The 23,609-nt window shown below is 35.6% G+C and overlaps 1 protein-coding gene across 5 annotated transcripts in view; it reads right to left on the reverse strand.

The window, feature by feature from the left end:
• PELI1 (pellino E3 ubiquitin protein ligase 1) overlaps positions 1-23,609 on the reverse strand; it is a 51,769-nt gene that overhangs the window by 25,579 nt on the left and 2,581 nt on the right. The window contains exon 1 of one of the 5 annotated variants that reach the window (XM_011532994.4): positions 4,170-22,556. The exons of 3 other annotated variants lie outside the window; for them this stretch is intronic. The gene's annotated coding sequence lies outside the window, so the exon portion shown is untranslated. Of the gene's footprint in view, positions 1-1,146; positions 1,264-4,169; positions 22,557-23,609 lie in introns of those variants that run through there. One more of the 5 variants, XM_047445139.1, reaches the window with a different exon arrangement.

Here is a 23,609-nt window from a genome sequence, read left to right on the forward strand (position 1 = left end):
ATCCACTCTTGATTATTGTTATGTTAGCACATTAAAAATACCCCAATTAGGTAAATTATTATGAACAACTTTCTCCCCAAAATTACAACTTTTCTCATCACTAACTTAACATCCATTTTATACCTACACAAGAGAATGAATACTGCCTTCTCACAAATAGATTAGAAAACTGGATCCAAAACAATCATACATTACTGAGCAGCGCATGTCTGTATTCTAGAAATCAGATTAAGCTTTTCATGAATTTCCTATAGAAAGAAAAAAAGTTCAATTATACTTTTTCTTCTGGTGAAAATAAAATGTTTCAAAAAAGAACACTGCTGGGAAACTAACAAGTATTCATTTTTTAGCAGGAAGACTCCCCCTAATCAATTATCAGACCTAAAATTATTAAATCTCTCCCAACCATATCAGAGGAAGAACAAACAGAATATTCAGGTAGAAATATTACTTAAAATCTCTACAAAGTATGACTGTCAATATTTTTAACAAATTCTTCATAATTTTTCCCACCTTATGATAATATTTAAATATTAAATTGTAGTTGTCTCAAAGGTCCAGATCTCTTTCTTGAGAAGATCTTGGGAAAAGATTTATGGCTGAAAAACTATGCTTCTGAATAAGCTGTCTACAGCTAACTAAAGTACAATGACAGCATCACCATTCTGGCTACGAAACAACAACATAATTCTCAAATTTGTAACGGAAAAGTAAGCAATGAACAACATTAAGTTCTAAAATATGTTTTTGTTTTTTTTTTTAAAGCCCTAAGTACTGTAGCTTGATTGCAAAAATATTAAAAATGAACAGCTTTCAGTTCTCTGTTAACCAATAATCAACAGGCAATATACACCTGTAGTGATATTTCTTAGGCTTTAAGGCTGATGAGAGATGAGATTCATAGTGTAAATATTCTCTAAGAACACAAAAGCCTTGGAGCTTGAGATTTATTTAACTTCTTCCCTAAGATGGAAGGAAATGTAATCCATACAACATACTTCCTAAAACTGAATATGAAAAAATAAATGTGAAAAGTTAAATAGAAAAGATCTGATGAATTATGCTTCAAATTATTCCCTTTGCAAGCTTACTTTAACCTGAAGCATTGACAATGTGACACTTAAAATGAAGCCACAGAACACATACCTCTCTGTTTCATCGTTAGCACCACAAGCTATACAGAAAACCTTCTCACAGAAAAATAAAATCCAGATTGTATTAAAGCATCTGCCAGTTACAGTTGGAACCACACACTGAATAGCTGGCTGTCTGTTCACAGTTCTTTCACTTAAGCACCTCGTAACGTGTGTAGGTGGGCCTATGTTACGCAAAATAGGTAAACACTACATAATTCTAGATTCCATTGACTGAAGTGAGAATTCACTTCTCCCTCACCTCCTCCCTAAGGAAGTCTGTGGCCCAAAAGGAAAGAAACAGAAGTAAGAGGAAGCACAGAGCAATTTTTTAACACAGGCTTAATATCAAGTTATAGAGTAAGGTACTTCCAGAAAGAGTATGATATTCCATTTCTTAAAAAGCAGCCTGAATTAACTACATATTCTATAAATGTCAGAAGTATAACTATGATACTGAAGCACCTTTTCATATTAGTAAACCTATTTTTACAGATTTAGTATAGTACTCAATCTGTTAAGCAACACTCCATTTAAAAAAAACACAAAAATCAATACAATTCATATGTAAAGAAAGAAGCCCCTTTAGCACTATTAAGTGAAACTGATTTTTGTGGTCTGGTTATAAAATACTATATTATCCCAGGCATAAAAATAGGTGAACATTCAATCACATTTTCAATTGATCACACTTGTTTATTTCCAGCTTTATTCTTTACAATTTTAAAATAAATTAGATACATTTGATGCTCATGAATACGGAGGAACTACAGCAGTAGCCAGAGGTAAGCTGGGATTGGACAAGCTTAATCAAATAGCTATGGAAAGCACCTACATACTGACATGTGCTGTTCTCAGATTATCCCACTTGTAAATTCCATTCTAGAAAGTACTGCCTGCTACTCCAAATTTCCCCATATGCTGTCTCAGGAAAAGAACTGTGTTTTCTTATAGTGAATGGTTACACATAGAGCTAGTCTAATCCTCCAAATAGCCAAAGGCGAACCTGATTAATTACATTTAAGATTATTTAAAAGAATACTAAAATTAAGTCACAAGTAAATGCTGTTCATACTTGTTCAATAATTTGCCCATGCAAATCATCGATAATCTCCACCCATTAAAGTTCAACTTGAGTCTAGATGCTTGATATTCTTTTATTAAAGTTCTTTAGTAGCCCTAAAGTGTTCAACCCTTTTGTAAAAAGTTACTAGTTATTACAGCAGAGCCCTAAAATTAGTATTGATACCCATAGTTCACAGCCACCTAAGTAAATGGCTATCCAGACAATTTCAGCCTTAATTCAATTACACTATACTGAATGATACATTGCTAATAAAACCTGACTGGAGAGTCAGTAAGTGTCCTTGGTGATCTTAATTGGAATCATTCAAAGTCCCACCTATAAATACATTGTTATCTTTTTTTAAAAAAGTAGTATAAAAATACTTTTGGTGGTGCTAAGTTTATCTGCAAAGCCTTCTTACAATGTGTCCACAGGACAATAGTTCTGGTTCACAGTAAGGCTATCATTTTTAAGAGAACATCACTATAATAGTACCTAGTAACTTAATGCCTTGGCACAAAATGAACCACCCTTTATCACACAGCTACAAGTTTACTTCTGTTGCTTCCCAGCATTCGGTAACTGTCCCATCCCCTGAAGCAGTTCTGTAAATCTGTTTAATGTTTCTTTTGCTCCTTGTGCTGGCAGCAGGCCCACTTAGGTTACAGCGAAATAAATCTGCGCAGGTAGGCTGCTTATATCCAATGTTGATACCTGTTCAGTCCAGGAAACATACCTGCAAAAATGATCGGGGCATATTCTAGGGTTTGCTGTTTGATGATCCTGCCTTGTCATGTGATTCCGGGCTGATGAGATTGCTCAAGAAGCCGGACATGACAAATTTAATATTCATACTAAATAGAATGTAGTTGTAGCTGACTCTCAATGTCTTATACTTGATTCCATAACAAAACCTGAGGTCCTGCCATTCTTTGGACCAACATACCAACTCTCTTAACTTTGGAAGTATATTTCCTGCTTAATCCTAGGGAAACCAAGATATCAATAGTCCTTATATCATCATTAACATCTTAATGATTAAAAACAGAGCACTGAGAGTATAAAAATTCCTTATGTCTTTAAAGATCTGTGTTTATATCAAATAATCTCTTGAGGAAATATTTTTTTTCTTAAAAAGTTCTAAAAAGACATTAAAGATAAAATCTCCATATTTTCTAAGTATTATAATGAGCTGGCCAGGTGCCATGGCCCACGCCTGTAATCCCAGCACTTTGGAAGGCCAAGGCAGGTGGATCACCTGAGGTCAGGAGTTCGAGACCAGCCTGGCCAACATGGAGAAACCCCGTCTCTACTAAAAATATAAAATTAGCCAGGCGTGGTGGCACATGCCTGTAATCCCAGCTACTTGGGAGGCTGAGGCAGGAGAATAGCTTGAACCCGGGAGGCGGAGGTTGTGGTGAGCCGAGATCACGCCATGGCACTCCAGCCTGGACAACAAGAGCAAAACTCCGTCTTCAAAAAAAAAAAAAAAAGAGTATTATAATGACCTATTTTTATAATGGGACAAATAATCGTATTCATAAAGAAAAAAGGGTTAGAATAAAATTTCTAAGCTTTTCTTTTCAAAACTACATTTTTTAAAAAGACAACTTTCTTTTTGCTTCTCATATATGCTTTCTTTACAATGATGTTTAATTAATAACATCATGGAGGCCAGTCAAATACAAAAACAAAACATAACCAAAACCTGAAGTAGTGTTCTTGGTGGGAATCAAAGTTACCAAACTTTGGCAAATGAACCTGAATCTCAATGACTTTCCCCTACTCTTCCATATCCTGCTTGGCTTACAAAAGTCTTAAACTTCCGTATTTTCCTCTACGATGTCTGAACCTCTAGCAATTACCTCAGTTGAGCTCAGGGAAAATGATAAACTTTCAGTACTCTGAAACTTAAAAAAAAAAAAAAAAAAACTCCAGAAAAAAAAACGAACAAAACAAAGTGTACTTACCTCACAATTTCTAGGCCTTTTCAGATGTCTCTTTTCTTACGGACCTATTTTTCTTATTAGGTTTTTGTTTCACCCTTGGACACACTGACCTCTGAGAACGTCCTGCTTCTTTAATGATCTCTGAATACTTCCAAGAAGGCAATCAAGGACTCATTCGTCACAGTCCCTTTACCTCTAGCCACACCCTCAGCAGGTGCATAAATTATTTCTTCCTTTAGTTCCACTCCACTGGTGACTCTTAGGTCACGTTCCTCCATCCCACAATGCAAATTCACGCAGATGGCATTTGCTATTCTACAGTACATTTGTATTGAATATCGAAACATGCCCAGTTTTTTACTTGTCAAATCCATCTAACTCCAATCCTTTTGAGAAAATGTACATTAGGCCTAAGATTTTTCAACAAGGTTTAAGAAGAAAAATAATCACTGTATTACTGTATTATATAATTACATTTTAAAGCTGGAAAGAACCTTAAAGAATATACTGTGCAATTTGTTCAATTTTCCTTCCAATTTCATTTTATAATAGATGAGAAAAATCTATATTCAGAGAGGGTAAGTTATTTGATGACAGTCATAGGGCTAAGTAGTGCAGCTTGCTAACTGATCTTGGGACTCCTATGTTGGCGTCTGTTTCATTAATTTTGGAGGCAATACCACAAGCACTAAAGAACAGAGCAGTCAGCCAATAAGTAACTCCTACCTTGTACTGTGTATTATTACAGGAGATGGCCAAGTGTTCAACTTTAGCTCCACTCTTTTCTATATGTTGTTATAATTTTATACCACAAAGAAAAAGCTGAAAATCAGACAAAAATTTAATGAAAGGCATACCATGGAGATTTGTTTCTTTTTGCTCACCAGATAGAGCACTGCCTTCCTAAATTGGCTGTTCATACTCCCACTTTGTGGGCTGTGTTTACCTGGCAGTCTCTTTAAACGAACAAAAGAAAGCTAGGTATCAAAAGTACTGCCATAGGTAACCCACATAATGGGAAAAATTATTTGCAAATCATGTATCTGATAAAGGACTTATATCTAGAATACCTAAAAAGGTCTCATAACTCAATAAAATATAAATGAAATTAAAATTTGGTAAAAGATCCATTTATTTCTCCAAAGAAGATATACAAATAGCCAATATGTACATAAAAAGATGCTCATTAGCCATTAGGGAAATACAAATCAAACCCACAATGACCACTTCAAACCCATGGCTATTATCAAAAAGTCAGATAATGACAAATATTGGTAAGGATGTGGAAAAGCTGGAGTCCTCAATCATGGCTAGTGGGAAAGTAAAATGGTGTAGTTACTTTGGAAAACACTCTGGCAGTTCCTCCAGATTAAACATTAAGTTCTCATGTGACTCAGGAATTCAATTCCTAGGTATATACCCAGGAGAAATGAAGACCTATGTCCACACACAGACTGTGCATTAATGTTCACAGCAGCAATATTCATAATAGCCCCAAAGTAGAAACAACCCAAATGTCCATCAACAGTCGGATAAACAAAATGTGGTATATCCATATAATGGAATATTATTTTGCAATAAAAAGGAATGAATTACTGATATATACCACAACATGGATGAACCTGGAAAACATTCTGCTAAGTGAAAGAAGTCAGTCACAAAGGATCACATATTGTATGATTCCATTTATATGAAATGTCCAGAAAAGGCAAATCCAGAGACAGAAAGAAAGTAGATTAGTGGTTGCCTGGGAGGGGAAAGAAAGGGGAGAAAATAGGAAATTGGGGAATGATAGCTAAAGGCTATGACATGAGATTTGTTTTTCGGGTGAAAATGTTCTAAAATTGATTGTGCTGCACAGCTCTGAGACTATACTAAAAACCACTGAAGTGTACACTTTAAGTGTTTACATAAATGGTATAAAAATTATACCTCAATAAAGCGAAGCAAGCAAGCAAGCAAATAAAGCTCTAGCACATTAAAAACAAAAGCCTGCTATAGACTCAAGGTTCACTGGAAGCTGGCACATACCTCTGGAATTCAAATATATTACCGATCTTATGCAACTTTATAACCTACATAAATTTTAAAAATTCTAGATACTGTTAACTCCTACTTCTTGGCCAGAGAAACTGAGGGAAACTAATCATTTGAACATTCTACAAGATAAATTTTCACAAGCAAAACTGAAAGCTTTCCCAAATGAAGTGCTTTTTGTACCAGAAATTATGAAATTGACACTTAGGTTTGGAATTTTAAATCTCATAATCTGTTTCAGACTAGCTTTAATCATAAACATGTGCTTTTTTGTTTATGTTTTTGCTGATAATCTTGCATCATGTTCAATGAGTGTTCTCTCTGACATCAACCACCAACTCTCCAATTCTGACACCAACTGGGCATCCAACAAATCAATTCAGTTCTGACACTATTATCTACCTTTAGTGTCAGATCTCACAAGTTAAAGGGCTCATGCCACAAGACTCCCCTAAGTTCAGATGCCAATCAAAGTCCCAAACCACCTGACTTCTGACCAACTAGCTATAAATTGGGGGTTCCCACAACCCCCTCCTCAGGTTCCATAATTTACTGGTACAGCTCACAGAAGAACAAGAAAACACTTCTTTTATGTTTACTGGTTTATTAAAAAGAATGCAACCCAGGAACAGCCAAATGGAAGAGATGCACAGGGCAAGGTATGTGGGGGTGGGGGCGGGGGCGCGGGGAGGGTAGAGCAGTGGAGCTTCCATGCCCTGTCCAGGAATGCCACCCTCCCAGCAACTTGATGTGTTCACCAACCCAAAAACTCAATCTCCAGGCCTCTGTCCCTTTCCCAGAGGTCACTGGGTGAGACAAAAGTCCCAACCCTCTTAATTTCTTGGTCCTTCTGGCGACCAGCCCCATCCTGATGCCATCTCAGGGCCCCACCCTAAGTTACCTATTATGATCAGAAAGGGGGTTGTTATAAATAATAAAAGACATCCTATCACTCAAAAAAATTCTCAGCATTATAGGAACTCTGTGCCAGGAAGACAGCGTGGTAGAAAGACCAAATAGATTTTTGTATTACACCACAGCAACAGCATCGAAGTAAGCTGAATATTCAAATACATAGCTCAATATAATCCCATGACCAATAAGTTTCACTTGATCCCTCTGAGGACAAAGACATTACCAAACCAACAGATTTGGTATTTAATCCAATGCCTGGTATTTAATATAAATACCCAATGTTTTAATTAATTACCTAGCCTGTCCCTCTAGCTAGCTAATAGTTCTATTTGGTTAAATAGCTAGAAGTCAAAATCTTCTAATAACTAATATACCTAGGTTAACAGATGATGATATCCCTTCACCACAGAAGTACCTAGATTAGTACAGGTTGAACAACCCGAATCTGAATCCGCAAAATGCTCCAAAACCTGAAATTTTTGAGCAACACGACATCGTAAGTGGAAAATTCCACATGTAAGTACTTAACACAAACTTTCATGCACAAAATTAATAAAAATATTGTATAAAATTGTCTTCAAGCTATTTGTATAAGGTGTATATGAAACATAAATGAATTTTATGGGTCCCATCCCGAAGATATCTCATAATATATATGCAAGTATTCCAAAATCCAAAACACTTCCGGTCCCAAGGATCTGGTTAAGGGATATATTCAACCTATACTCTCCATAAAATGCTAATTAATGATTTCTTCTATTAATAACCATTGTGAGCTTTCTTTGCAGTTTAATTTGCTTTGATGTTGGAGCAGTTCTTAAACCAAGGGCTGTGGTCTCCCTATTTTTTTTTGAGACGGAGTCTCACTCTGTTGCCAGGCTGGAGTGCAGTCACACGATCACAGATCACTGCAACCTCTGCCTCCCGGGTTCAACCGATTCTCCTGCCTCAGCCTCCCAAGTAGCTGGGACTACAGGCACACACCACCATGTCCAGCTAATTTTTGTATTTTTAGTAGAGACGGGGTTTCATCATGTTGGCCAGGACGGTCACGATCTCTTGACCTCGTGATCTGCCTGCCTTGGCCTCCCAAAGTGCTGGGATTACAGGCATGAGCCACTGTGCCCAGCGGGTCTCCCTACTTTTAATTTAGTGCATCTAGAGTCACCAACAACACAATTACTAACCCAACAAATATTACTGAGCATTCACTATAAGGTCAGAAGTTATGGGAGTATTCAAACTAATGCAAAAGGTATGCCTCCCTATACCAAACATTTGTTTACTTATGTTTACTAAAAAAGGATGTAAATTAAATCAGTATAGAACAGATATCATATTAATGCAAAAGACCATAAATACCGTAAGACTTCAAAGAAAAGTGTTATTACTTAGGAGGAAGAGGAACAAGAGGAAGCTTCATAGCAGAGGTATTCAATTTGGACCTTGAGAGACAGACCGGACTTTGATAAGTGAAAAAAAAAAACCAGTTTAGGTGGAAGAAACAATCGCATAAAGATAAAAAAGACAAGGGGTAAAAAGTATATTGTGTTCTCAGGAAAGGGTAAGTCAGTAGGTTCCCTGGAGTTTGGTTAGGAGATAAATAAAAAGTAAGTTTGTGGAAATCATGAACCATGGCTTTGTAAGCTCAGTGACTGTTAGGAAGTGCTGAATCAAAAAACAAAAAGTATGACAATTATTAACTCCTCTTTACATCTGTATAGTAAAGAAAAATCTCTTTATACTCTTAGAAAGATGGATAGACTACCAAGACCAAAGAAAAGATTCCCTTAACGCCTATTAATTTGTAAAAGTCCAGGTTGTTAAATAACACTTGTGCTGATATTTATTAAACAACAACAACAAAATAAAGGAGAATGAAAGCACAAGACCTGTTAAATTCCAAGCCATTAAGAGTTTATTTGAGGCCGAGCAAGGTGGCTCACACCTGTAATCCCAGAACTTTGGGAGGCCCAGGCAGGAGGACTGCTTGAGCACAGGAGTTTGAGGCCAGCCTGGGCAACAGAGTGAGTCCTTGTCTCTACAAAAAATGTAAAGTTTCAGACAGGCATGATTCTGTATGAAATTTGTTGGGATACCATGCTTTAGTAGATCATAACATCACAGTTATGTTTTTCAAACAATGTTGAGTGAGGTTTTCTTGTTTTTTATTTTAAGTTTATTTTATTTTTCCTCACACTATCAGGGAGAAGAGTAAGGTTTTTAACATTGATGAATATGGCTTGAATTTGAAGTGGATGTCTTCTGGGAACTTTTGTTATGTTAAAAATATATTCATTTAATGCTGTTTTAACTTTTTCCCCAACCCTCTATTACCAACAAGACCTTGACTGTGACAATTGCAATTTTGCTAACTATAATTCTTTTCTATGTTGTCAAAGGATTATTGTACTTGAAATTGGAACTAACTTGGAAAATCTAGGTGGTTGTCTCAGCTGACCCCTGAAAGTTGAAATTTAGCTCCCCTTTAACCACACTGTTAGGACTGACCACTAGACAGGACTATCTTTTTTCCTTTTTTCAAATCAACTCTCCACCTTAGTTTATCTATTCTTTTTCCAATCAACCATCTCAGATAAAAACAGGCTCCTCCCGTTCATATAATTTAGTCTAAGTCCTTCTTTCTGAAAAGAAGGAATTCTGCTAAATCAAGTTCCCTTTCAGGCAATTTCAGCTCTGGCCAACATTTAGTAGATTAAAAAAAAATATCAACCAGTTTTCTTCACACCCAAAACTGAGAACCTATTTGTATCAAAACTGAGATTCGAAGGTGTGTACAGGGGTAAGGAGCAGTGGTATAGTTTTAAAGCCTAGAAAAATAATTCTGCTTTGCACCCTGATATTTCTAAAATTCAGGTTAGTTCAGTAAACATTTATGGAGTGCCTATTATGGTTCAGATTCTGTGCTAGGAGACTAATATGAAATGTTCCTATCTTAAAAGGAGCTAATGGAATTAGAAATAACACTTTTACCCTCTAGAATTTTTCAAGATTTTCTATTTTCAATCATGTAATAATAATAATAGTATTAAAAGTAAATAAAGTTACACATGATATATTTTTCTCCTTTTGAACTAAGTGATTAGAATTGCAAATGTACTTCTTAAATATACTATATACATCTTAATTGCCACAAACATTTCTTTCTCCTCACATCCCACCCCCAAAGCAGATTCTTTTCTTACAGTAGCCCAAAAATCCCTAAAATTTTACATTTCTAACTAGAGTTACAGACTGAGTCAGACTAATGTGACATCCATAAGGTTTTTAAAAAATTCTTATTTTGCTTCTACTGTTATCTTTGTCCTAATTATGCCATCCACCTTTATTGGCATTTACTGCGGAGTGTATGATAAATTTAAATTTCTACACACATCTATGAATTTCATGCAGATTTAAATTCTCAGCAAGGATCTCCTCTATTAATATTTTCACATAGTAACATTTGTCAAACTCTTGGGTTTTATGTAAGTTAAAATGATTATTTTTTCACTATAGAAATTCAAATGAGATCCTAATTAACACATTGCTCCTTCTTTGAAGACCTTGACACAGACACAAAATTGCTGATATTTGGATCTATAAGTTTGATGAGTTTTTTGTTGCTGTTCTGTTTTACCTTTCACCATGGAAAATTTGGTCTATCACCATCACAATGTTTACTGAGCCAACTATCTACAAGGACAAATAGCAAAGCTTCTTATTCATTCCAGCTAAATCAATTAGGCTATTCATACACTTACTGACCATTTGCCAAAGTGCCACCCTTTTTTGGTATCAATAAAAAGCAATCTTATAATAAAGGTTTATTTTGTTTTGAAAAAAAGCCAGGGTTCTCAAATTCACTGTATTACTTTGCAACTCTTGCTTCCCTTGCCTTCAACATTGTGTGGGTGGAGGAAAGAAACCAACATATTCAGAACAAAATGTGAAGTCAAGGGAAATTTTTAGACAGCAATAAGTTGTGAAAATCACTTAAACTTACTGTCAGAACAATCTTTTGTATAGAAACATAAAGGGAGGCATTTTAATATACCCCTGACATTCAATGAAAAAATACGAGGCTCAGAATACCATAAACCCAGATACTGTATTTGTTTAAACTAATTGGGCTTTTTTATATATAACTCAGTAAACTGCAATTACAACCATATTCAAACAAGTTTTGTCTAATTCCTCTTCTTAATACCTTTTCAAAAAGAGGACTTTATTTAAAAAACAAATTCTTAATAATTCATGAGATATATTATTTCTTTTTTTGTGATTATGAAATGTTCTTCAGTACATATTTAGGCTATTTATAAGTTTTCTAAGACCATTCTTTTAAAGTCACACTGTATCTTCAAAAGCCCACTTTAAACAAACCCTCCTATTATTTATAAAACACACTAAGACTTACGTAAACACCAAACAAATAAATACATTGCTGATTCTAGAATATGTATAATAGAATATAGTCTACAATTGCTTGTATTGATGATCCACATAAAGTCACAGGAATTTCTTAAATGATAGAAGATTAAAGTAGCACTTTTTAAGGCAATGTATGTACTATTAAGTTTTCATGCAAATCACTGATTACCTCTCCAGAGACACAATGTAATTTTTGTTAGAAATGATTTTCAACTCTAGTATATACTACGAAAAATTATTGTGGTGGCTGCAGTAGAAAGCTTCTCATTTGATGTGTCCCAATAAGCTATGTGACTTTTGATTTTGAGATTTTGAATCATGTGTCTTTTGAATCCACCATAATTCCAGATTCTTCCCAACTTTTCCCCCCAATTTAAAGTGACATGGTTGTTACTCTCTATATCACATATATCAAAAAAAGAATTTCTTTTGAGATAAGGTCTGGCTGTATTGCCCGGGCTAGTCTGAAACTCCTGGGTTACTCCCATTTTAGCCACTCGAGTAGCTGGGACTACAGGCATATGCCACTATGCTACGTTCATATATCAGACATTTTTGAAAAAAATGAAACTGAATATGTAATAAATACTCAGCAAACAAGTGTTGTTAACGTTATCACTATTCACTTGTAAAAAATTCTAATAGTATTTCAAGGCCCATTTGATGTTCTTTTCCCAGTCTGAAAGTTTTTCCTTATTCCCTAAACTGGGTATAATCTTTTTTGAGCTCCCATAGTTTATCTGCAATTCTTTTATGGGCCTTATCCAGTTTTATATTATAGTTACATATGACCCTGTGCTATCTTCTATTAAAGCTGAACACTCCTCCAAGGGAGAAACTGTCTTGCTCATTTTGCAGCACTTAATATTGAAGAAATAAGGGAAAGACATTAAAAAGTTTGCTAAATTAGATCTTACGAAATCTTCATTTTAATTTGGTGCATAAAAAAGCATACATATTTCTATAAAATTTATTCAAGAAATTTTGAAGAAAAAAATAAAATTTCCTAGAGACTATAGAATGTTAAAGCCTTTTGGGAACAGATGTGCTCATTCATATACACAGTAATATAACACAGGAAATAGAAGAATCTATCTAAATGATATTAGAAGCCATAATGTATTATTTTTTATTTCATTTCATACTTTGGGTGTTAAAAAGGAAGAGTAAAACACAATGGGTAACTTATTTTCCTTTTTGGTAAGAACTGGGTTTTCATTTTCAGACTAAAATCAGTTCTAGAAATCAACACATAAAGACTCTGTTGTTACTGCCCTTCATAACCCTTTACTCCTATCTCTCCCTGAGGCCCTGAGTACCTAGGAGAGAACCTTCGTTTTCATGGTTCTTTATGAATTTCTTGGTCCAAAAGCACAGTTTGCTTAAGACATTAAAAAACTAGCTATCAACAAATTTCATTACTAAAGCTAATAGGAAAATTAATAATAAGATATTATATTAAATTTGTTAAAGTAGTGCCAAATTTTAAATTTTGATATATTCTTAAAGCTCTCAGGGGTCAAAAAGTTCTAGCAATTCATATATATATATACACACATATATATATACACACATAGGTTCAGGTCAATGCCCTGGGGGTAGGGACCTCTGACTTATAATACCTAATAAAATGTAAGTGCTATGAAAATAGTTGTTATACTGTACTTTTTAGTTGTATTTATTGTTGTATTGTTATTTTTTATTATATTTGTTTTCCAAATATTTTTGATCCATGCTTGGTTCAATCCTCAGATGCAGATTCCATGGATACAGAAGGCCAACTGTACTCGAGAAACAAAGGCAGAAACGACAGGATCCTAACCGGCATGTAGAGAGTGAAATAGTAATCTCTCTCTTTTTTTTTTTTTTAAATTGAGACGGAGTCTCACTCCATTGCCCAGGCTAGAGTGCAGTGGTGCCATCTTGGCTCACTGCAACCTCCACCTCCCAGGTTCAAGCAATTCTCCTGCCTCGGCCTCAGGAGTAGCTCAGATTACAGGCACACACCACCACGCCCAATTAATGTTTGTATTTTTAGTAGAGATGGGGTTTCACCATGTTGGCCAGGCTGGTCTCGAACTCCTGACCTCAAATGATCCACCCACCTTGGCCTCCCAAAGTGCTGGGGTTACAGGCATGAGCCACTGCACCCAGCCAGAAACAGTAATCTCTACCAGTATTGTAGGAGGCAGAACAGATATGGAAAGAAAACAGAGGTCTTTTTCACTATGGTAAGTTTGAAGAATTTTAGTTAATATGTCTAATAAGCAGTTGAAAATTTAAATTGGCTCACAGAGAAAGGTACTGAATTGGCAACAGATCTTTCCCCCTCCTTTTTCTCTTTCCACTAGACCAAGTCAGGATGCCAGTAGAAATAATAAAAATAGCTTCCAATTCTTGAGTACCTACTTTATGCTTGACATCGTGCTGAGAACTTTATATATTATCTCTATTCCTTTCAACAACCTTACCAGGAAGATACAGGTTGAGCATTCCTAATCTGAAAATCTGAAATCCAAAATGCTACAACACCTGAAACTTTTCAAGTGCTAACACAACTCTCAAAGGAAATGCTCTTCCAAGTATAATGCAAATATTCCACGATCTGAAAAAATCTGAAATCCAAAACACCTTTTGCCCCAAGCATTTTGGATAAGGGATTTAATAAGTCCCGGTGAGGCTTGTTCTCAGAACCTTGAGATTAAGTAAACTGAGTCAACTGTCCAAGGCAAAAGAGCTACCAATTAGTGGGGGAGGCATCTGAATAAAGTTTTCTTCTTATTAAAGACTCTATTATACTACCTTAGCTTTAACTTGAATGACCACCTATGTCAAGTTCATTCTGGAAAGGGAAAAACAACAAAATTAATGGAGCTCTCAGACTGAGAAAATAGGGAATAAGTCTAGGAATATGTGGTTTCAAAAAGTACAAATTTAATAGTGATACGAAAGAGCTGGAGAAAAAGAAGTGGAGTTATAGTTTAAAGACCCTTTAAACCAGAAGGAGCCTTGGAAATGGCATAGTACTTTTATAAGTAAAGTGTGGTCCATGGCCTATAGCAGTAGCACACCCAGAAGCCTGCTAAAAATGAAGAATCTCAAGCCCCAGCCATACTTACTGAATTAGCATATGCATTATAATATGATCCTTAGGTAATTTGTATAATACATTAATGAAAAACACTGGTCTGATACCATTACAATAGATGAAGACACTAACCAGGTTAAAAAAACAGTTTGCAAAGCTAGAACTCAGGCCTCTTTATTTCTTGGTCTAGAATTCCTATGTCTTCATCATGTGCCCTCCAGACAAATACATCACTTCGAATTTCACTAACCTGAGGTCTGTGCCATAAACATTTAGAACTTAAAATGAGTTTCCATCAAATTAGCACTAAACATTGTTATTTGTTACCATTTCATTTGGAATTTTAAGTACCCCCATGAGTTTTCTTCAATCATTTGTTTTAACATCACTAAATGAAACATAAACATGCTATCCCTGACTACAAAGAATTCTTAAGCTCATACAGTGAGTTTCAACCCTGAGCACTCAATGTGAAGAGACAGTATAGATAGAAGAGAGAGACTTTCTATAGGCAAATTATTTAAAGTCATAGAATCCTGGAGCTGGAAGAGACCCAATATAGCTGAGATGACAAAGAGATTTCATCAGAATGGCAATTATATATATAGTTTCTGACAGTGCTGTATAAAAAAGTTACCTGAAACTGGTTTGGGATACAGATACCGATACAGATACAGCTACTAGCTGTATCTGCCATGGGTTGGTTCCAAAGAGGGTGTGAGTGATGGAGTTACTGACCTTGTAAAGATAAGGAAACTCAAGCTCAAAGAGGTTAAATGAAATATATAAGGTCACATATTGAGAAGATAAACCAGAACTCCAGGTCCCCTAACTTCTGATATAGTGGTTTTTATCCTGTATCATATTGCCTCTCCTCTCTATTTATTCAATAAAAAATACAAAATCCTTTTCATGTAATAGATAATAAAAACCAAACCAATTAGAAATTAACTGGGAATAAACACCTCAGATGGTTTTATGGGCATTATAGGATTTATAATCCTATAATAAGGACATACATGGAAGTATGTTAAAAGATTTAAAATGAAGCCCACAACCTATAGATTTTATCATTGTGAGCAATGAATGATCTCTGACTCAGACTGCTTTCTGACATTCTTACTTCATGTAGAGTTTTTCCATATGACAATTCTTCTTTAGAGTTTATCCATGATGACTCAGGGTACCTAGATGGTATGAAGGAGCCTTCAATTTAAGGAGTAGGAGGAAAATGAGGGGGCCTACTGAATCATTAGCAGCCTACTCAGTTCTGAAACTCAGCAAATCCTTTTGGAAGCCATTTTAAAGTCAGCTTTAGGAGACAAATTCTGGCTAAAGCCTTAAAGACTGGTCCTTAAGAGCTGAACTATATGCAACTAAATCAACACGTTATTTCTAAAAGAGACACAACCAAAAGGCTTTAGCAAAATCTGATCTTCTTTTTGTTGAATAAATGTCAGTGATGAATTTTTAAAAATGTCTGCTCTCAATGAAGTTACAGATCTGCTCAAAGTTTAAGAGCCCCTCCTCAAAATTCATCCTAGTTCCTTTGGAGAACAGACAGGGCTAGTTCAGAAACTGAATCATCCTATTTTAAATGAAAGTAACAGTAAAGCAGTAAGTATATTTAAAAAGCTTTTTGATACATAAGGTATGTCTATAGGACCGGTTTCTAATTAGAAGCAGCCGCTACTTTACAAAAGATACGTATTTAACACATTTTCTCATGAATGATAAACTTAGTTTTGTAATTTGGATGTTTTGATCCTTTGATGGTAAATTTAAAGAATGACAGTGAGAACAATTCAAAGAAAAATCCATCATGCTAACTGTAGTCTAAATTAAAGCCAATCAGCTTTTAGTGCTTCCAGTACATGCAGTTCATTAAATCTGAAATAAACCCAGAGGAACATGAAATACTACGGATAGTATCTGCCAAGAACCAGGAATTCAACATTAAAGTTTTGAAAAACCAACAAAGCACTTTCAATTGTTTTCACTTATTGTTAAAAAATAAAATTAAACTGTGCCTTCTAAAGATTAAGCCAAATGATATGTTGAGCACTACAATGAGTTACTAGAAAAATATCAGGGCCAGTCACTTCATAATTCATTCTTGTGGAAGGAAGAAGTTATAACCTTCTTTACCACATTACTTATCTTTTTATCTTTTCCTCTTGACTGTCAAAGAGATGCTCAACAGAAGTACAGTTTTCCCCTAAGGTCATATATGGTTAGTATTACAGTAATGATGAGGTCCCCAATTGTTTGACATTTTTAGAAAAGACAACAAACATCAAGAGCTGAAAATAGTTTTTGAAATTCCACTAGGCTGTTAATTTTACTATCAAACTTTGCTAGTTTAGGTATGTAGGTTCTGGATGGATGCAGGATTAACTCAATGAGTTTGAGTTTAAACTCAAACTGTTTCCTACTGTTTCCTACATTATTGAGTTAAAAAAGTATTGCATCCTACAGGTCATGTAGTTATCTCTTAGTGTCTGATGAGAGATCTCCACCAAGGCACACACCAGAAATAGGCAAGGAAAGTTTAAAAAGATTAAGTATGGCACAAATAGGAAAAGTATTGTACTTGCCATCCACAGGTTACTACTTTATAACCTTAATTCATTCCAAGTCTACTTTATAAGTATAAAAATGGCAGACAAACATAGAAAACGCTGTTGAAGAGCAATAGGCATGACTAAAGCTGGCAAAGGATGATAAAGAGAGCTATTGGCAGAGTAATGAATAGATGAAAGTGAGACAGGCAGGAAATTACAAGTATCTTGCAATGCACAAGCTGAGAAGAATAACCTTGAACCTGTTGCTGTAAAAATCTACAAAGCTTAATAGATTGAATTTTCAAATAATCTCTCAATTATTGTTACTCATTATTATTTCCAAAATTAAGTATAGATTTTATCATGGTCATAAGGTTTAAGTCAACATGAAATGTAAGATGCACTTTTGCAAAGCAATAACTTCTCTTCAAATGCAAGGTGTATTATTACTTCTATTCTCTACTTAATTTACACATCTGAGCCTTAGCTCATTAGGTCATAGACACTTAAGCACATCCAAGTTCAGAGAATTATCCATACTTATATTTACTATTTTGTGAGATCCAATTTCTTCCTTTCCTTCCTTCTCTTGCTGCCTTCCCTCTCTTTCTCTTCCGTCAGAAGTTATTCATTTATTCCACAAAAATGGAAATGAAAAACAGATTCATGATCTTACCAGCAAATCAACAGCCTGAATGAAAGCTTTCTAAAATAAGTTACACTTCAGTATGGTCATCATCATAGAAGTTCAAAGATCTTTATGAAAAACCACTGCCACTTTTTTTTTTTAGATGAATCAAAGGTTTTAAAAGACTTTCAGAGTTAATGGAAAGCCCAGGAATTAAATATGGGCTCAGTTGTTCCATGTTAACAAACTAGTGTTTAAAATACGTTAAATAATCTAGTCTAGCAGCTCAGCCCTGATAGTATGTGCAGTATATGGTAAGAGAGTCTGGCTATCTATACATACACATGCATACATACATCTACACACACTAAAGGGACAAAAACTCTGAGTGAATTAAAGAACTAGATTCCTAACAATTTACTGAAAAATGTTTAAAATAGGAAGCTTTGTTAAAGTATTCCTTACACAGTTATATACTTATATTCTTAGTGGTCACTATGTAATTAACTACATAATAAAAGTTCATAAGTTCTACTTCATGGCATTACATTTTAAATGATTGGTTAAAAATACAAATGAGGCTGGGCGCGGCGGCTCACGCCTGTAATTCCAGCACTCTGGGAGGCTGAGGCAGTGGATCACGAGGTCAGGAGATCAAGCCCATCCTTGCCAACATGGTGAAACCCTGTCTCTACTAAAATACAAACATTTAGCTGGGCGTAGTGGTGTGCGCCTATAATCCCAGCTACTTGGGAGGCTGAGGCAGGGGAATCACTTGAACTCAGGAGGTGGAGGTTGCAGTGAGCCGAGATTGTGCCACTGCACTCCAACCTGGTGACAGAGCAAGGCTCTGTCTCAAAAACAAAACAAAACAAATGAAAACGTTGTGCTCCCCCACCATTGGACATAAATAACAAGAAAAAGAATGGCTTTCTTTACTCAATATTATCAGGAGAGTAAAAATCACTGAAATGTTTAGTTTCTCAGGTTGGAAAAACTGTACCTCTAAAGAATGAACTAGTATAGTAATTGTTCAAAATTAGTAATCCTACATGTATATTGTCCTGAGAGTAGATTTTTACAATCCATATTTATTGAGGTTTTTGGGGGCATTTAAACATTTAGATGAGATCCAATTTTTCCTATGCCTTTTTTAATAAAAACAGTTCTTATGGTAAATCAGAATGTTCTCAAAACAACTACTAATCTGAGAAATGAAGCATGAATATAAGAAGACTTAAGAACCAGATTCATCTCTTAACACTAACATGTGTTAGTCTTTTAGTTCCTTCCCCAAGTGTATGCCATAGCGACAAGACTTAAACAATTTCACTGTGTTTTAAATACCATCCCTTTAGTCTTGAATGCAGAATATAAATGAAATTTACCTGAAATTACTGTTTTGATACTTAGTATTAAGAATTGTATATGATCTTGTATGTGTGTGTGTGTGTGCGCATTTTGTGAGACCTTAAAATATCCAAATTAGTATGGTGCCTTCCATACTAGTCACTCTCAGAGGTTATATACCCTTATTCCAAATGATGCTACAATTATCCACAACATTATTAAAATTCCTTTTTAGTCTATGGGTGGATCTGACTTTTACAAACAATAACTGCCTTCTCAGACTGGATCTGATTTTTAGAAATAGCCTCAAGTTACTTCCCATTTTCTTTCTGTCAAGATCCTCTGTGAGTCATATCTGATAAATAACATGAAATATCACGTGGCCAATCACCCCTTTTTTCCTTAAAAACAAGGAGCAAATACAAAGTAATGAGCTATTTTCACGTGTGGCTCTTAAACTGGCTTAGACGACAAAAAAAATTTTTTTTTCTAAAAATATTGAGTAATGCTAGTATTGTTAAGTGTATAGCTTCCATGGTGACTACTCTAAAGTATAAGACTTATTTTAGATAAGTGTATAAAATATTTTTCCTTTAAAGATGGATAACCAGCCCTACACAATTTAGTCTTCTCTAACCTTCCTTTCCCATGCTGATGCTGATTTTATGTACTCACGCTCACCCTGATCTAGTTACGCTAGTTTTTTTTGTTTTGTTTTGTTTTTTTTAGACAGGATCTGGTTATGCTGCTCAGACTGGTCTGGAACTCCTGGGCTCAAATGATCCTCCCACCTCAGCTTCTTGAGTAGCTGGCACTACAGGTGCAAGCCACTATGCCTGGCTCACACCCTTGTCTTCTTGTAGTTTCTTGCAGTTGTAGGCACGCTCCCATCTCAGGGCCACTGCACTTACTATTCCCTCTGTGTATAATGTCTTGCTCCAAGGAGACCTGCAAGGCTTGCTGTGCTACCTCCTTCAGGTCATTACTCACTTTAACTATTTATCATCTTCTCAATGAAGTCTTTTCTCACTACCCTTTAAAACTGCATCTTGGCCAGGTGTGGTGGCTCCCACCTGTAATCCCAGCACTTTGGGAGGCGGAGGTAGGTGATCACCTGAGGTCAGGAGTTTCAGACCGGTCCGGCCAACATGGTGAAACCCTGTCTCTACTAAAAATACAAAACTCTACTGGGCGTGGTGGCGTGTGCCTGTAATCCCAGCTACTCAGGAGGCTGAGGTAGGAGAACCACTTGAACCCAGGAAACAGAATTTGCAGTGACCTGAGATCGCCCCACTGCACTCCAGCCTGGGTGATGAGAGCAGAACTCCATCTCAAAAACAAAAAACAAGAAACAAAAAGCAAAAAACTGCATCCTCCTCCGAACCTCATACACATATCCCATTTATTCTCCCTTCCCCTTCCCTGCTTTATTTTCCTGTTTGTGTGTAAAACTGTTTATTAGGGGAAATTTCAAACATACACAAAAATAAAGAGGAAGTAAGAAACCTCATGTATCCATATAGCATCTACCTTCAGCAATTTTCAATATATGGCCAATCTTGTTTCATCTATGTTCCTCTCCCTTTCAATATTTTGAAGTAAAAACCCACACATCACATTTTAAGTTGTAAACACTTCATTATACATCTCTAAAAGAACACTTAAAAAGTACATTCTCACACCTGAAAAAATGGACAAATCCTTTTCATTAAATATCCAGAGTCTAAATTTCCCCAATTTTGAATAAATGTCTTTTTACAGTTAGTTTGCTCAAAGCAGGATAGAACTAAGCTTCATACATTGCATTTGGTGGAAAAGCCTCTTAAGTCTCTTTTAATCTTATAGTTCTCCCTCCCTATTTCTTGCTATTAATTTTTTGAATAAATCAGGTCATTTTTCTTTTATTTATTTTTTAACTTCTATTGTTTTGAGGCAGGGTCTCGCTCTGTTGCCCAGGCTGGAGTGCAGTGGTGCAATCATGGTTCACTGCAGCCTCAATCTCCCAGGCTTAAGTGATCTTCCCACCTCAGCTTCCCGAGTAGTTGGGACCACGTCCAGTTAATTTTTTAAGAAACTTCTTTGTAGAGACAAGGTCTCACCACGTTGCCCAGGCTGGTCTTGAACTCCTGGACAAGAGGGATCTTCCCACCTCAGCCTCTCAAGGTGCTAGGATTACAGGTGTCAGCAACTGCGCCCAGCCATTTTTCTTAAAACGCAATGTATTTTATTTATTTTATGGTTTGTGTCTTATTACTAGAATGTAAACACCATGAAAGCAGAGATTTTAGTCTATGAGGTATCAGCATCTAGACCTGTGACATGTAAACGGCATCAATAAACACTGAATGTATTTGGCATCCATGCCAAAAGTCCACCGCTCACCAACAGCAGAAATTGCTAATCACAGTACTCTTTCCTGCTAAGTTTGAACAAGGACTCCCAGTTTTCTAAACACAGCACTCTAGGCAGCCACCACTAAACAATCAGATTTGGTACCCCAAACGAAATTTATTTGCTGTCCCTGCTTTAGCCCCCTTCAAAAGTGTACTATCCCTAAAACAGATTTCATTGCACCTTGTATGTTGAAATTTTAGCATGATAAATTACTGACTGTGTTTCTTGTCAACTACATTTAAACATTTCTTAGCTTATTTTAGACAGCTTAGGGGAAAAAGAAAACTGTAGCCAAAAAAATAATAGAAAAAGAAACTGCAGAAGATGGTGGGAAACCGCGGGTATTACATATTTTTAGAATTAGCAACATCCCAAGAGGCTCATTATAAAATAAAAATTAGCAACAAATTTTCTGAAAAGGAAGTAAATTACATGTGTGTTGAATTAATTTTTTTAAAAACTACATGAAGATTAACTGGAGGATGAAGACAGATGTCAGGATTTTCCCATTTATAGGCATCAGCAACACATTCTATTTTTCTGCAACTGGTATTTTGAGGTGTAAAGGTATTACAGGGGCGATACAAGAGTACTATGTAGAACCCCATTTCTCTGAAGTGGAGTTTATGTGGCAAAAAGAATCTAAAACATCTAGTACAACATTCCGAAAAATTGTCAATTCTTCTTAAGAGTCATTTACAATTCATTTCTGTTAAACTACCAGATGAAGCTCTCTTTCTCTAGGCTTATTTCTGAAGGTAGGTAAGCTAACTGAAAGACTCCAATCAGATGTTTATGTTTTGATTACTTTTTTCTATCAAAAAAGAAAAAAATTAGAAATTCCCTGACATCCATTCAAGAAACACTGTGCTTTCTCTTTATTACCTGTAAATTCATTAAACAACAAAAAGTATTTAGGACCTACTAAACATAGTATGTTAGGCAGTTATTTTCAGCCTTTGAAGGAAAAATAGAAGTGATCTACTCAAGACAACATGCAAAAAAAAAAAACAAACAAACAAAAAAAAACCTAGGGGCAGAACTTGAAATCATATCCAGATCTTTCAATGACCAATAATTCTTGTCTTGAGGTTCCCACACATTAGTCTAGGGAAATATTCTATGGCACAGGTCACACTTAAAACTAAGAAAATATAATAAGCACTTCCCCTCCCCCACTACCACAAGTGTAAAAAAATCTCCAAGAACCCAAATCCCTTGAAAGAATGACTTCTATTTACTTTGCCTGTGTAATATATTCAGAGGGAATCTGGAAAAGATGGCTAGAAATCTATAAACAGAAAGTGCTAAGTGGAATTCACTGTTTATAGACTTCAACTAGAATTTTGTCCCTTATATATAAATGCTGCCAACAATCTTTACATTGTATTATTTAAAAACATCTTCATCAGGTTTTCTTCACTTTGCTGATTTTCTTCCTTTTCTCACTGGCTTTTAAATCTGCTTTACTGTCCTCAAAGACATAAATGTAACTTTTGGAATAACATGTTTCCCGCCCCCACCCCAAAGGAGCTCCTAAAGCCACCTCAGTGCCATCATATATTAGTCATTATGAAATTTTAATATTTACAGTTAAATATATCTGTATAATAAAATAATCCAAAAAGCCTTTCTAACCTAATAAATACTAGGATAGGTCTACATTGATGTATTATGGTAAAATGTGTATGTATATATTAGTTTTCAATTCTAAGTCTTTGGCTTAAAATCTTTATCAGCTATAGAAGCTTCTGCCTAAAAACATTAGTTGTCCACGAAGCATAATGACTATCTACAGTCCTTACCACCTGACCTACTAGAAAACCATAATACATCATATTCTGAAATGATAGAACTCTTAAAATACAAAAGTGACATTCTGACAACCCAGAAGAGGCTGAACTTAAATCAAATGGAAACATCCTTTGGCTTCCCCTTTGAAACTTGCCTCAGTGGCATTTGGCAGTACTAGACTAACTTCCTACCCCGTACTTTTCAGTCATTTCCTTTAAGGGGTCTCAAAGAAATTATGAAACCTGCAAAGCCAGACT

Source organism: Homo sapiens, chromosome 2 (assembly GCF_000001405.40).
Source record: "Homo sapiens chromosome 2, GRCh38.p14 Primary Assembly".
Classification (NCBI taxonomy): Eukaryota; Metazoa; Chordata; class Mammalia; order Primates; family Hominidae; genus Homo; species Homo sapiens.